This window comes from Homo sapiens, chromosome 1, assembly GCF_000001405.40.
Source record: "Homo sapiens chromosome 1, GRCh38.p14 Primary Assembly".
Taxonomy (NCBI): Eukaryota; Metazoa; Chordata; class Mammalia; order Primates; family Hominidae; genus Homo; species Homo sapiens.
The window spans coordinates 31,357,743-31,373,195 of NC_000001.11; the positions used below are offsets into that span (position 1 = coordinate 31,357,743).

The 15,453-nt window shown below is 46.9% G+C and overlaps 2 protein-coding genes across 14 annotated transcripts in view, besides 1 other annotated feature; one reads left to right on the forward strand and one right to left on the reverse strand.

Annotated features, from left to right (window-relative positions):
• The window catches only part of ZCCHC17 (zinc finger CCHC-type containing 17), a 67,905-nt gene extending 60,711 nt beyond the window's left edge, over positions 1-7,194 (forward strand). For all 11 annotated transcript variants that reach the window (NM_001282568.2, NM_001282566.2, XM_047422508.1 and 8 more), the window contains one exon: positions 6,290-7,194. In NM_001282568.2, the coding sequence (NP_001269497.1) occupies positions 6,290-6,451 (162 nt within the window). In that variant the 3' untranslated portion in view covers positions 6,452-7,194. The remainder of the gene's footprint in view (positions 1-6,289) is intronic.
• On the reverse strand, positions 1,846-15,334 carry FABP3 (fatty acid binding protein 3). 3 transcript variants are annotated; one of them, XM_011541007.4, is made up of 4 exons: positions 15,200-15,334; positions 11,643-11,815; positions 9,651-9,752; positions 1,846-3,088 (listed from the first exon to the last, which is right to left on the reverse strand). In XM_011541007.4, the coding sequence occupies exons 1-4, from the start codon at positions 15,270-15,272 to the stop codon at positions 3,056-3,058; spliced, it is 381 nt and encodes a 126-aa protein (XP_011539309.1). In that variant the 5' UTR covers positions 15,273-15,334; the 3' UTR covers positions 1,846-3,055. The 3 variants fall into 3 exon arrangements, with proteins under 3 accessions (XP_011539309.1, NP_004093.1, NP_001307925.1); NM_004102.5 differs by lacking the exon at positions 1,846-3,088 and adding an exon at positions 7,511-8,197; NM_001320996.2 differs by lacking the exon at positions 1,846-3,088 and adding an exon at positions 7,511-8,197 and having other exon boundaries at positions 11,643-11,848.
• Positions 8,723-8,905: a silencer, noted in NCBI's record as "fragment chr1:31839312-31839494 (GRCh37/hg19 assembly coordinates)". NCBI's record gives its function as "represses an EF-1alpha promoter that drives an FKBP-Casp9 reporter gene in an ReSE screen in HepG2 liver carcinoma cells {active_cell/tissue: HepG2}" and the evidence as "EXISTENCE:reporter gene assay evidence [ECO:0000049][PMID:32094911]".

The following is a 15,453-nucleotide window of genomic DNA, read 5'->3' on the forward strand; positions in this document are numbered from 1 at the left end:
GTAAGGCCAGGCCTTTCTTTTTTTTTTTTTGAGACGGAGTTTCACTCTTGTTGCCCAGGCTGGAGTGCAATGGTGCGATCTCAGCTCACTGCAACCTCTGCCTCCTGGGTTCAAGCAATTCTTATGCCTCAGCCTCCCGAGTAGCTGGGATTACAGGCATGCACCACCACGCCCAGCTGATTTTCTATTTTTAGTAGAGACGGGTTTCTCCATGTTGTTCAGGCTGGTCTTGAACTCCCGACCTCGGGTGATCCACACACCTCGGCCTCCCAAAATGCTGGGATTACAGGCGTGAGCCACCGCGCCTGGCCTGGGCCAGGCCTTTCTCATAAAGTGTTGTTTGAGTGGATATCAGAAGGAAGTGAGGACACAAGCTATTCAGGTAAGTGGAGAGAGAGCATTTCAGCAAATGTAACAGCTGATGTTGGGAAAGAGTGTGGCATGATTAAAGAACATTAAGGACGCCAGTGTGGCTACAGTGAAATGAATGAAAAGAGAGTGGTAGGAGAGGAAGTTAGATCAGAAGGAACCCAGATCACTGGGGCCTTATAGGTGATTGGGAGGATTTCATCTTTCACTTGAGTGAGATGGATGTTATTAGAGGTTTTGAGCAGAGGAATGACATGATCTGACTTCCTTTTAAGAGAATTATTCTGGCTGCTATGTAGAAACTTAGATGGTCAGAAAGCAAGAGTAGAAGCAGTGAGTTGATAGATAATCCAGATGATGGTGGCTTGGACTAGAATGACAGTGGCAAAAATGATGAGAAAGGAGTTGAAGTGTGTATATATTTTGAAGATATAAGAGCAGGTGAGGATGGCATCAAAATTTTTGGACTGTGTAACTGGAAGATTTGAGTTAAGAGAAGGAATGCAGGAGAAGTAAGTGTGGGAGTAGGGAGCAGTCAGGAGTTTAGTTTGAGTTGCTGTCTACACAGATGGAAAGATAGCTGGGAGAGTCTAGGTTTGGGAGGGGGCGGGGCATAGAAATTGAGTTGCCTATCAGATATTCAAGTAGACCATAGAGTAGACAGTGGATATATAGTTTGGAGTTCAAGGGAGAGGCCCAGGTAAGATATATAAATTTGGGAGTCATCTACATATAGATGGTATTTATGTTCATGAGATCACCTGCAGAGTAAATATAGGGAAGAGACTGAGCCCCAGAGTGCTCAACACTTAGAGGTTATGGAGATGAGGATGAACTAACAAAGAAGACAGGAAAGGAACAGCCAAGGAAGTTTGTAGAAAAGTAAGAGAATGTAAAATGTGGTAGAAATACCATGAATGTGTTCTAGGTAAGATGGTCTGTATCCATCTTGACTGACCAAGTAAATAAGACCCAATAATTGACCACTAGATTTGGCCACGTGGAGGTTACTGGTAATTTTGTTTGTTTGTTTTTGTAGAGACAGGGTCTCACTATGTTTTCCAGGCTGGTCTTGAACTCCTAGGCTCAAGAGATCCACCTGCCTTTAGAAAATTAAGTACTGGCTGGGTGTGGTGGCTCATGCCTGTAATCCCAGCACTTTGGGAGGATGAGGCAGGTGGATCACTTGAGGTCAGGAGTTTGAGACCAGCCTGGCTAATATGGTGAAACCCCGACTCTAGTTAAAAAAAAATACAAAACTTAGCTGGGTGTGGTGGCATGCGCCTGTAGTCCCAGCTACTTGGGACTACAAGCGATTCAAGGAGAATTGCCTGAACCCAGGAGCCAGATGCTCCAGTGAGCCGAGATCACACCACTGCACTCCAGCCTGAGTGACAAAGCAAGACTCCATCCTAAAAATAAGTAAATAAATAAAATAGAAAATTAAGTACTCAATAAATGTTCACTGCTATATTCTCTTTTTTCAGTTTTTGCTTTTATTTTTGTTTTTCTGTCACACTGGGCTGCTGCTATCCTGTTTCAGAACTATAGTGAAAATGGGTAGACTAGCTGCTCTAACAAGGGATATGTGCTTTTCCTAGAGAGCAGTCTTTGAGATGTTTGACCAGTGGCTTCCTTCCAGTGCCCCCTTGACCTGCGCCATGGGCTCACACTCCTATGCCATTTAAAAACTGTTTTATGTTTAATTTTCTATTTCCATCTGATACTTGAATCCATGTCATTTTTTTTTAACCCATTATCTTCTGTTTCCCTTCTCACTTGAATGAAGTTGAGAGAGCAGAAGCTTGGTTCATCTTCTGGCTCTCAGTCTTCCCCCACCCCAACTCCCAACTTTGCTTTTGAACTACAACCTTTTTTTTTTTTTTGAGACGGAGTTTCCATCTTGTTGCCCAGGCTGGAGTGCAATGGCACAATCTTGGCTGACCCCAACCTCTGCCTCCGGGTTCAAGCAATTCTCCTGCCTCAGCCTCCCGAGTAGCTGGGATTACAGGCATGTGCCACCACGCCCGGCTAATTTTGTTTTTGTGTGTGCGTGTTTTGTTTTGTTTTGTTTTGAGACAGAGTTTCGCTCTTGTTGCCCAGGCTGGAGTGCAGTGGCGCGATCTTGGCTCACCAAAACCTCCGCCTCCCACGCTCAAGCGATTCTCCTGCCTCAGCCTCCCGAGTAGCTGGGATTACAGGCATGTGCCACCACGCCCAGCTAATTTTGTATTTTTAGTAGAGATGGGGTTTCTTCATGTTGGTCAGGCTAGTCTCGACCTCCTGACCTCAGGTGATCCACCCACCTTGGCCTCCCAAAGTGCTGGGATCACAGGCGTGAGCCACCGCAACCAGGCGAACTACAACTTCGGATGTGATTGTTCTTTTGTTCTGTAGCTCAAGGCTAGACACGTAGGGAAAATGACGCCATTTGCTGGAGGATTGGATTGTCTTTGTTCAGGCTGCAAAACAGCTTTTGCATCAAAGTTGAGGTCTAGGAGAAGGCCACCTCCTTGAGCCCTTCTTGCTAGCTAGAGTCCATGTTCCAGCATGCCAGGACTCTCCAGTGATTTGTTTTTATCTTCCCTCCTCCTGAGCCTTCATCTTTGAGAGAGAACAAAGTGGAAATAGTGCCAAACTCTGTGTTATAAAGTATAGTGGTTTTGCCGCTTTAGCCTTGGTCGACTCACTTTACATTTCTGAGTTGCAGTTTTTCCATCTGTAAAATGGGAATAATAACTCATGAAGTTTGACTCTACAGACTATTATTGTAAGATAAGGATGCAAAAAGCTTGATAAACTAAAGCACTGTTTAGGTGTAAGGCAGTATTATTACTCTCCTCACTTCTTTATCCAGGCTGGACCAGGCTTGCAGGGAACTGGTGCCAGACTCTGTATTTTCATTTTTACTTTCCCAGGATATTCACCTATATAAGGGGCAGAACCCAGTGAGGCTCCTGACCCCATAATATCTTGTGATGGACTTCCATGGTCTTGCCATCCAGGAAGGTTCAGCAACATAGCTAAACTATTGATTTGCCAACTCTCAGCTCCTCCCAGCCATGGTTGTTATAGCTCGGTAATGTGGGTCTGAGAAGCTTTGTTGCCTTCTCTCTACTCCATTGGAGATGCCAAGGAAGAATTGTTATTTCATCTTCTCTTAAAACTTTGACTTGTCTCCTGTAGATGCTTGGCCAGGCTGTCAGAACATCCTGGGAGTTAATGAGAGAAAAATACATATAGCTCCCACTAAGTGCCTATAATGTGTCAGGCACTATAGTTAGTGCTTATCTTGTTTAAACCTCATAGCATCCTTTGAAATAGGTACTTATTATTTCCAGTTTACTGAAAAGAAAACTGAGGTTCAAAAAAGTTAAATCCCTTGTTCTAAGTCACATAGTGAGTTAAGTTGCAGAGCTAGAATTTGAACTTAATTCTATCTTATTCCAAAATTTGTTGTTCTAATGACCATACCATGAGGCCTCCTGTTACCATACAGAAAGAGGGGCCATGTGCTACATAGGAAAACTCAGGAGATTTCCATTCATATGATCTACATGAAGATCCCAACTGCGCCTATGCGATCTGGGACAAGTGGCTTTCAACTTGTCCAAGCCTTAGATACTATCTCATTAACTTGTCACCATAGGTGTTTTTTTTGGGGAGAGGGGGAGATTATTTATTTATTTATTTATTTATTTATTTATTTATTTATTTTGAGACAGGGTCTTGCTCAGTTGCCCAGCCTGGAGTGCAGTGGCAGGATTATGGCTCACTGCAACTTCCAGCTCTTGGGCTCAAGCGATCCTCCCACCTCAGCTTCCTGAGTAGCTGGGACTACAGGCCCGCGTAACCACACCCGGCCAATTTTTGTATTTTTAGTAGAGACAGGGTTTCACCATGTTGGCCAGGATGGTCTCGATCTCCTGACCTCATGATCCACCTGCCTTGGCCTCCCAGAGTGCTGGGATTACAGGCATGAGCCACCGCGCCCAGCCAGTAGATGTTATTCTTATCTCCAGTTTACATTTGAAGGGAACAGGCCTCAGTGAGTTCAGATGACTTGCCCACGGATGCAGAATAGTAAATGGCAGAGCCAGAACTCAGGTCCAGGTCTATCTAACACCTGCTTCAGTGTTCTTTCCACCATTTTTCACAGCCAGCTTCTAAGACCTGGTGTATCATTCAGCTAGATTTATAGCTCTGAGGCTGCTGGTTGGAAGCTGGCATCCTTTTCTGCTCTCTTTCTCCTCCCATACTTTCTCCCTCTTCTTAGAAACCTTACAGAGGCAATATAGGTATTTGAAATTCAAAGAAGAGATTTATGCCGTGCTTAAAATCTGCTCATACTGCCCCATTAGACACCTGGGAATCTGCCTCTCGTCTTTTGTATGGGTTTGTACTGTTACTTTGGTAGCATGATGTGGTGGGTATAGTTTTGGGAATGTTCTTTCTCAGCTCTTTTCTTTATGAGTATAATCTTGTGAGGTGGCTGTAAAGTTAGAGATGATGAATATTCAAGGGTAGCAAGTACAGGCTTATTATTTGATGGCAGTTATTTCCCCTGGCACCAGGATCTAATAGAAACCAGAATAGCAGTCAGGAGTTCTAAATCTTTTACTCCTATTCTTTGACCTTGGATATGTGAGTCACTGTTTCTAGATAGACTGGCTAGTCTTTAGGGGCGCCTTTCAGCTTTAATGTCCTGCACTTTAAAAAATGAAAGTAATAAGATACTTGTTTAAAAAAAATCAAATTAGACAGAAGTATTTGAAGGAAAAAGTGAAAGACCCATATCCTTTCCCCCATTCAGTTCATTCCCAATGTGTAACACTTATTACCAGTTTGATGTATCCTTTTCAGTGTTCTCTGTGTATACTAAATATACACAAGTATGTGTAACATACACAGTTTATATCATGTGCATATATATATAAATACACATGTATATGTTATACGCACTGGAACCTACAATACATATTATGTCTTGGTTCTTTTACTTAACATGTTTTAGCTATTTTTTTCTTGTTGGCACTTAAAGATTTACTTTATTGTTTGCAATGTCTTATACTTTTTTTTTTTTTTTTTTTGAGACGGAGTCTCGCTCTGTCGCCAAGGCTGGAGTGCAGTGGCACAATCTTAGCTCACTGCAAGCTCCGCCTCCTGGGTTCACACCATTCTCCTGTCTCAGCCTCCCGAGTAGCTGGGACTACAAGCACCTGCCACCACGCCTGGCTAATATTTTGTATTTTTAGTAGAGACGGGGTTTCACCATGTTAGCCAGGATGGTCTCGATCTCCTGACCTCGTGATCCACCTGCCTCGGCCTCCCAAAGTGCTGGGATTACAGGCGTGAGCCACCGCACCTGGCCACAATGTCTTATACTTTATTAAGTGTTGGCTGGACATGGTGTCTCACACCTGTAATCACAGCACTTCGGGAGGCCAAGGTGGGCAGATTGCTTGAGCTTAGGAGTTTGAGGCCAGCCTGGGCAACATGGAGAAACCCAACTCCATAAAAATTAGCAGGGTGTGGTGGTGCATACCTGTGGTCCCAGCTACTTGGGAGGCTGAGGTGGGAGGATTGCTTGAGCCCAAGAGGTTGAGGTTGCAGTGAGCTGTGATCGTGCCACTGCACTGCACTCTAGCCTGGGCAACAGAGCGAGACTGTCTAAAAGAAAATTAAGTGGTCCCCTATTGATTGTGTGCTATAATTTTTCTTTTTTTCTCTTTTTAGAGATGAGATCTTGCTATGTTAGCCAGGTTGATCTTGAACTCCTGGCCTCAAGCATTCCTCCCACCTCGGCTTCCCAAAGTACTAGGATTACAGGTGTGAGCCACTGCACCTGGCCAATTATGTGCTATGATTGTTAAAAGCAAATATACACATACAGTGTTGATTTTTAAAATTTTCTTTTCAGGAGAAGAAGAAAAAGAAACATAGAGATAGGAAGTCATCTGACTCTGACAGCTCAGACTCTGAGAGTGATACAGGCAAGAGGGCAAGGCACACATCAAAAGACAGCAAGGCAGCAAAGAAGAAGAAAAAGAAGAAGAAGCACAAGAAGAAGCACAAGGAGTGAGAGTATAAAGAGTGTAGGGGGTGGTTGAGAGTAAGAAACCAGGAGCCTTGTGCCTTGAGACTCCTGGAAAGACTCAATAGTGAGAATATAGCCTCCCACCCCATTAACTTCGCTCCCATGGGAGATGGCTTCCCCTCATGCAACAGGCAGGTTTGGGAGTTAGAGGTCAAAAGCAGCTGCCTGAATGAGTTGTTGTTTCCTTATCACTCCTGGTCCCTTTGCAAGTGAACCCTGCAGCTCACCCATTCATTCACCCAACTTCCTTCATTCAGCAGGAGGTCCTATTACCCTCTCCAGCTGCCACTGCCAGAGCTGGATTCCTGTAAAGGAGTCCAGGCTAGAGCCACAGAGACTGTTGTGGAGGTGAGTTCGGCTGTAGTTAGAGTGATTGGACCCTTCCTATTGGTCTGTCCTGGGCCAACTGGTGGGTGATCTCTGCTGCATCCAACATGGGAGCAGAGACTGGCAGCAGGAGGGGGGAACATGGTGAGAAGTGGTGCTCACTTTTCCCATTCCTCCTAACATAGTTCTACTATGCTAGAAGTGGCATCCAGCGGCCACAGCTAGAAAACAGTCTGCAGTGTGACTTAACTTGTGTATTGCATTCCAGCAGACCACTGAACCAGACAGCGAAGCCAAGATCATTGTTCTACTTTGTATTTACTACTGTGTGAATCAGTTGATTCTACTTCAGGTCCTTGCTTAAATTCCTGTCACTAAATGGAAATGTGTTTGGTTTTAAACTTACTGAGTTATTTTTCCTATAATCCTTCTTCCTGGGTAACTTACAGACTTAAAGTCACTGAGCCTGCATTAGCTGACAAAAACATTTAATATGTTACCTTAGACCTTGGAGAGATGCCCAGCAGAGGTACAGAGCCAAAGGCACTAGCAGATCACTGCCTTCTTGGGAGATCACTTATAAGCCCTCCCTTTTGTAATGATCAGATGCCCTCTTCCCTCAGAGTTGATTAGAGAAGCAGTAAGAATTTGTAGTCATAAGTACTAGCCTGGTGCACAGGTCAGCAGTCCTCTTGGCCAGTGGTCATTTTCTCCCACCACCATGGTACAAGCCTGGGTTCTGTGCCCTGAACCTGAATTCTGGAAAGGGAGAGACTACAGCATTTCACAGAGAACAGCCAGACCCAAGAGCTTTCAGTGTAGGATGGGCCTGAAGTGACAGTTCAATAGCCAAACCTGGGGAAGCCCCATCACTGACTGAACTAGGTCATTTGACCATGGAGGGGGGGCAGTGTAAAGGCAACGTGTAGGTACAGCTCTTTTATTATTAAATGTGTAAGGTGATCAGCTGATTAACAGGCTCCGAGACTGTCCATTTCAGTCTCCCATCCAGTGCTTCTTCCTCAGTAACCTTCAGGCCGTTATTTCTGCCCACTCTCTGACACACAGGATAAACCAAGACTCCCAGAGTTATGTTACCAAAGGCAAAAAGGCAACTGGGTGGCCTTGGCTCTGCTTTATTGACCTCAGAGCACCCTATGAGTGCAGTTAAAAAAAAAAAAAAAAAACCACATACACCATGGGAACTGGAACTGGATCCCGGTCAGTGGCACCTGACCCCAGAAGAATTCGTGGATTTGTACAAAATGCAGAGGAAGAAATGAGGCAATGTGGTGCTGAGTCGAGGGGTAGCCGATTGGCAGAGTAGTAGTCAGCAACAGTGCAGTCAGGTCATGCCTCTTTCTCATAAGTGCGAGTGCAAACTGCAGTGCCGTGGGTGAGTGTCTGGAAGGAAAGACAGAGTGAGATGGGGGGTGGAGCCAGGAACACCATTGCGAGCATTCTACCCTCCCTTCCTCCTGATAATTGTCACTTGAGTACCTACTATGTGCCGGCTATATGTATGTATGTGTGTGTGTGTGTGTGTGTGTGTGTGTGTGTGTGTATACATACATAATTTTTTTTTTCTGATATGCACAGCAAATCCTTAAGATAGGCATTGTAATTCTTATTTTAGAGATTTGGAAAAAACGAGCCTTTAGAGAGGAAGTAATTTGGTCAAGATCCTGAGTGTTTTTCCTTCCCTTATACCATTTGGCTTCCTTCATCCTTAGTGTCTAAGATGGTGCCTGGCATATAGTTGACAAATAGGAAAAATATCCAGAGACTCAGGAAAGGACTGTGTTTGGCTACTAACTCCAATCCTTCCCTAACTTAGAGTAGTGCCAGGGCCAGAGCCCTGTACCTCCCACTATCCGGTCTGGCATCATAGAGCCAGACCCATGGCCTCACCATAGTTCAGCTGCCACTGAGAATTTGGTCCTGCATATCACATCCCCACCAAAGCTAGGCACCTCATTCCAAACTTCAAGGGGACCCCTGTCCCACATGAGTACAAGAATGCAGTTAACAGGTTATGCTGACCCAAGAAGGTGTGCAGTGAAGATGCCTAGGTGAAAACCTGAGGCCCTGTGGTTAGGCAGAATCCACAGTTGGCTGCTCTCCCTGGGTCTGGGGGGAATTCAGTCAAGGCTAGATTCTCCAAGTGAAGTCCCCAAGCTTGAACAGATCTGCCAGCCTGGCTGTGGTACTTCCTACCCAAGCAGTAGTCAAGTAGTTTCAGTAGGCCAGACATAGAAAGCATGAAAATGGGGTAGGACTAGAATGGGGAAGAAAGGACTGTACTGTCATTCAGTGTCCCCACCAGTCACGAGCCTGTCCCTGCAAGTGACAATGCAGTCCTAGGGAGGAGAGGAAAGGGAATGCTGAGATAGGCAATGGGAGCCCCTCCTAGAGGGCCTGGGATCAGATTTGGCCCTGTTTTCTACTTCTTCCTGAGGTGAGGCAAGGTAGAAACACAGGAAGAGCAAACAAAGGACATGGAGCACCTGCTGTGTTCCTCAATCAGTGATGCTTTGTGCTGTGCATACACTGTCTCTTACAGGCTTCCCAGCAGCCCTACAAGGTTGGTATTATTAATACCCGTTTTACAGTTGCACTTGGAAAAGGTGATTTGCCCACAGTCATGTAGCCTATAAGGTAAGATTTGAGTTCCGGCCTGTGTGAGTCCAAAGCCACTACACAGAAAATTCCCACCTGATACCACCCTGACCCACAACCACTCTCTTGTCCCAGCTTCTACAGCTCTCAGGGGAGGACTTGGCTTTTTAGAACAGGCTTGGCTGAAAGAGCAGTAGTAATAACCAATCAGATATAGCTCCAAAGTTGCCCATCTTACCAGGATGAGTTTTCCATCAATTAGCTCCCGCACAAGTGTGGTCTCTTGCCCGTCCCATTTCTGCAGGTGAACAAGTTTCCCTCCATCCAGTGTCACAATGGACTGTGGAAAGAGGGTAGAGGCCTGAGCTGTGATCTTAGTCAGGAATTGAGGGGCAGGGTGGGGTCTGGACACTGGGCCACAGAGCACACAGCCTTTGACCCAAACTAGTGATGGTGTGAGGACAAGAGCTCAGGCAATCCGCCTCCCAGCTATCCCTGCAAGACATCTAGTTCACCTCCAGCCTCTGCTCCACTACTGCCTTTCTGGGGAAGAGGCCTTCAGATATTAGGCAAGGAGGGAGAGGCAGGCAGTATGGTGGAGCCAGAGAGCCTGGCTCTGAGAAGTACCACAAGCCTTCAAGACAGACACTTATCTGTACTCTAGGTGATTCCCGTAGCCTGGTCCCCTCAGATACAGGTGGGATTTACTAGTCTATCCCTGGGAAAGACTGACTGAGGAGGAGGAGTAGTCCTGAGAATCTTTATCCAGCCTTGTGGTTAGTCCACATAATGTCTAAAAGACCCTTAGTGATAGGAAGTATTGGATAATTAGACTTCCTGCCCTGTATTCCTACACCTTTTCTTGGTCCACATCATGTGACCTCTTTAGCCAACAAGAGGGCAGCAACCACAAAGTCCTGTGACTGGATGCCCTTGAAGTGGTTCCTCAGCTCTGGGTGCTGCCAGCATACATACATCAGCTGGTTCTCATTTGGCAGCTCTTCCAGCTCTCTTTCCTAGGAGTTTGGGGGCCACAAGGCCAGGCTAAGGGATCCTGATGAGCAAGGTGGTTCAGTAGGAGAATCTGAGAAGGTTCTGTGTATTGTTTAGGTGATAAGGGGTATGAGGCCTGTCTCTTAGTGTGCTCTTTTTTATCCTTACCTTACTCCTTGTTCTCATTCCCCTAGTTTTTTTTGCCTACTCAGAGTAGATATTTTTGCCCTAGGCATTCCACAGGGCTATTGTGTTTAATTGGGGTTCTTGCCCCTTGAGAAAGTAGGCAAGTCCAAGGAGGTATGAGCAGGTGGTGGGGCAGCCACCTTTATCCAAGGTAGACTGCCATCTTTGGGCACCATCCCCAGCTCTGCTGCCAGCCACCTGTGTGATCCTGTTCTTTCTGGGGACAGCTATGAGGAAGAGGAAACAGCTGATGGGGCTGAATGATAGTGTCATGATAGAACACTGCTATAGGGACACCCTATAGAGGTCAAAGCCCTTAAGTTCTCTCGCTCCCATGCCTGGCCTGGAAGGCTGAGGCAAGCTGCCAAGACAGCCACTGCAGGGTGATAGAACCCTGGGAGGAGGGGCTAAGGCTTGGTGGGAAGACACTGCAAACACATTCATGACAAGGTGAATGCCCTATCACGGAACATAGCTCTTCCTGCCTGTCAGCTGGCAACACTGGAAATAGTTTGTCAGGGTCATTGGCCATGTCTGGGAGTTAGAAGTTGAAGCGGCATCTGAGTAGGTGCTTCTAGTTCCTGGCTGCCTTTTTTGCTGCTGGAGGTCACAATGACCTCACTCAGTGGAGGGCCCTGACTTCTGGGCATCATTCCTAAAGCACTTCAGGTCACAGCCATGGCCACATAACTCTGCCATCTATGGAAGGGGAAAGAAACCTAGAGCTACTGCATACCTTGCACAGGGTCACCCAGCTGGAGCTGGAGTAGATACTGAGGTCAGAAGAACATCCTGGCTCTGTGCTGCCCATTCCGAGGCAGACAATAGATGAATCCCAAGAAGGGAGGGAAGAAAACAAGAGGACAGAACTGACATGTATTTAGCATCAGTGGCATTCCAGCACTACACAGGCTTTATGAATCTTGTTTCATTTAAATTCCCCATGATAGTCTGCCCCTCAGGGTGCAATACCAGGGAGCCAAGACTACCAGCCTATTCTCTTTTAGAGTCTCAGCACTCTCCATTCCCCACCCCTGTTTCCCTGACTTACCTTGACCTTCCTGTCATCTGCTGTTGTCTCATCGAACTCCACCCCCAACTTAAAGCTGATCTCTGTGTTCTTGAAGGTGCTGTGTGTTTTTAGGGTGAGAATGTCCCCATTCTTTTCGATGATTGTGGTAGGCTTGGTCATGCTGGCCACCTGCCTGGTAGCAAAACCCACACCTGAGGGTAGGGGGAAGGTTATGAGTATATGAGCTGGGGTAGAGAAGCAGTGTACAAGAAACTCAATGAATAACTCTCAGGCCTGGGTATGGGGAAGTGGAGGACTGTATCTTTCAAAGCCTTTGCATGGGAATTTTAAAATTCAGTCTTGCGCTTAGTTCTGTTTGGTGAACACAGATAACTGATCCCATTAGATGAGAGATACTTAAGGAACAGCAGTGCCATAGCAAGTCAGTGGCAGAGCTGGGATTAGAATAAGCTACTATTGGGCCAAGTGTGGTGGCTCACGCCTGTAATCACACTTTGGGAGGCCAAGGCAGGCGGATCACATGAGGCCAGGAGTTTAAGACCAGCCTGGCCAATATGGTGAAACCCGTCTCTACTAAAAATACAAAAAATTAGCCAGATGTGGTGGTATGTGCCTGTAATCCCAGCTACTCAGGAGGCTGAGGCTGAGAATTGCTTGAACCTAGGAGGTGGAGGTTGCAGTGAGTCGAGATTGTGCCACTGCACTCCAGCCTAGCCAACAGAGTGAGATTCCACCTCAAAAAAAAAAAAAAAGCTACTATTAAGTACTATGAGCTTTTTGTGTAGTAAGAACTGTACATGTTATCTCATTTAGTTCTTCCTGTTCTTCTGAAGACTGTTTCCACGTTACAGATACAAAAACAGAGGTAAAGCCCAGGGTCACAAATCTGAGATTGAAGCCCAGAATTGTCTGAGTCCAGAGCTTGCTTAAGTGCTCAGCTATACTACCTCCCAAGGCTGGAGCATAAGGCTGCCTTCCAGGGCACCTGAAAAGCTCTCAAAGCCTTAGGAATAAGGCTGAGGAAAGAAGAGAAACATAGACTTTCCCTTCCAAAGCCTTAGGCATAGGAGTTTTCCAACTTTGGAAGTTTTTACCCTGAAACTAAGAAGTGTTAGTGCTCTTGTCCCTTATACATGGCAACCCATCATTTTCAAAGCCTGTTATCTATGATCTAGGAGTTAGGTACAAAGGAAGTATTTGTCCTATTGTGCAGATTCAGGAGGAGCCTAAAGCGGTAGCAACAATGAGTTAGACTCAAACCCGTCTCCTGACTCCCAGTCTAAGGCTTTACAGAGACTCTCTTCCTGACCCAAGCATGGCTTCCTTGGGTACTGGGCAAAGTCCTAAGTGTCCTGCAACCAAGTAAAGAACAAAGAACTAATCATGACTGCCCCCTCTCCCCCCAGCAGCTTAACATTGAACTGTCTTCCAAGGCAAAGGTGAGGCAGGAGGCAGCCCAGTGTAGTGAGGTGGTGTGTGTAAAGTCTCCAAATGTACCTGGCTACATAGTGCTTGCTGGAAGCTAGGTACTCTGCACATGCCCTACATGGGTTGTTTTACTTAATGCTTGTAACAGCCTCGAAGCGTAGATTATCCCCAGTTTACAATGAAGAGTGCGAAGTGTCTTGTCGAAATTCAAAGAGAATAAACTACTGACATAGATTTGAACCTCGGCTCCAAAACTGTTGACTATTTTCACTGGGCGATTCTGTCCAGCACATACTCAATCCAGGCCAGCAGTTGTGCCTGTGGTCACTGGTACTAGACGGGACCTCTTTGCCCCTTGAGAGCCCTAGGTCTACAGCAGGAGGGGCAGGGGCTGCCTCTGCTGTTATGCTGTCAGCCCACCCTTGCTTGGCCAGTGAGGAACTTGGCATTGCCCCTTGGTATCAGGATGAGTCAGGCCAATCACACTCCCTTGCACAGAGCAGGACCTTGTCACGGCACTGGGAGCTCTGTTCACTTAGGATCTACCCAGAGGTATGGAGTGTTTGAAAAGGAAACCACTGCGGGATGAGTGAGGGTCTGAACCAAGAGAAACTAAGAATATTGAGCTGACAGAATTTAGGAGACTCAGGGAGATCTGGGTTCTACTTAGAAATGAAGCCAGCACTACTTACTGAGAGCTGAGGAGGGTATTTTCCCAGGCTTTCCATTCCTACGATGAGAATGCTGGCTGCCTTAACATAAGCTGCTGAAAGATAACAGGACTTCAGGGAGACCAGCCCGCTGACCCAACTCGGGGCAGAATAAGGGAACAAGAATGGTAAAGTTGTTGCAGCTCAATTCAAGACTCAGCTCTGGCCCAGCTTTGGAAGGAGGAACTAAATCTGGGCATTCCAACTTCCCAATAGCTGCTGGGCTGTGTTCGTGGGGGCTGGGGGCTGCTCCTCTAAGAATGACTGCCTGCCTAGAATTACTGGGCATAGCGCCCAAGATAGGGTAGAGGCCGTTGAGAGCTTTGACCTCTCCATCTAAGCCCAAAGCAGTAGAAGAAGGGCTGAGGTCAATCATTAGCTAAGCAGTTTCTACTTTTCTTCCCACTCGCAGGGCCTGTAGGGTAGTGGGAAGAGCTCTGGGTTACAGATCTAGAAACCTTAGATTTTCATATTGGCTCTGCTGTGGAATTGTTATAATACATTTCTACTCTCCTGGTTTCAGTTTCCCTGTTGAACTAGATGGTATGGGAATCTCCAAGTTCCTCACCTGTGAGATTCTTTGAATCCTGATTCTTCTCCATCCCAACACCACAGCAGTTCTCCACATCCTCCTAAACCAGTGATCCTCCCTCCCAGGTCTTGACCTTGCCTTGGGACCCTCTACTGCACATCAGAAGTCCAATGGCTTTCTCTGCCTACCCCTCGCACAGATAGGTGAGCCTTGGGTTGCAGGAAAGGCCCAGCTGATCATGGGCCTCTTGCCCCACCCTACCACGAGGCTCACAGACAGTGATGAAGGCCTGGATACATAGACTGCAGGACAAGGTCAGACTGGCTGGTGAGAAAGGGCATTCTCCAGCAAGAATTCTCTTCCCTAACCAAGCAGAGATGGGGATTGCTGCTTACTGCAGGTTCCTGTCTTACGTCCTTCTCATATCTGATTCACTGATCCACAGTTTTTTCCCCACTAATCTTTTTCCTCCTAGGTATTTCCTACTTGTTTACATCATTGTACACTCCCTGGCTGCCCCATTCCCTTTCTGGGTTCAGTCTCCTCCAATTTCTAAACTACCCATGCCCCTGTTCTTTTTCTCCCCTGGCTACACTCCCTTTCCTGTGATCAGTGTTCTTTATCCAAACCCTCCTCCTACCTCCAAATCACATATCCCTCTTCCTGGAAAGAGCCTCCCACACAGCTGCCTCCTTCCACCACCTCCCTACCGTGGTCTCTAACCAGATTTGGACCACCAAAGCCCCCTCTGAACAGGCCCCACCTGCTCTAGGCCAGGCTGCCATCTCCGCGCTCCCCTATTCCCCAGTCTTAACCAGGAGGGATGCGGCAGGAGTGCTGCGTGGGGCTAGGCACGCCACCAGCCAGTCCCCAAGCCAACATCCTGAGCCCCGCGGCTTGCTCACCGAGTGACTTCATGTAGTCATCGAAATTCTTGCTGTCCACTAGCTTCCAGGTGCCCAGGAAAGCGTCCACCATAGTGATGCTGGGCTAGGCTGAGAGAAGCTACAAGAGAGCAGGCGTGCAAGGGCTCCGACGGCGGCTCCCTGCCCGGGCTGCCGCTTTAAATAGCCCTCGCATCACATGAGGAGACGTGGCCCACGCCCCCGGCTCCCGAAATAGGAAGCCCCAGGCTAGGGCTCACCCAGGAGGGGCTGGT

Coding starts and splice junctions, on each gene's coding strand:
- FABP3 (NM_001320996.2), bottom strand. CDS start 15,272: ATGGTGGACGCTTTCCTGGGCACCTGGAAGCTAGTGGACAGCAAGAAT. Junction 11,849..15,199: donor TGACTACATGAAGTCACTCG/GTGAGCAAGCCG, acceptor TCTCTACCCCAG/CTCATATACTCATAACCTTC. Junction 8,198..9,650: donor TTGATGGAAAACTCATCCTG/GTAAGATGGGCA, acceptor CTTTCCTTCCAG/ACACTCACCCACGGCACTGC.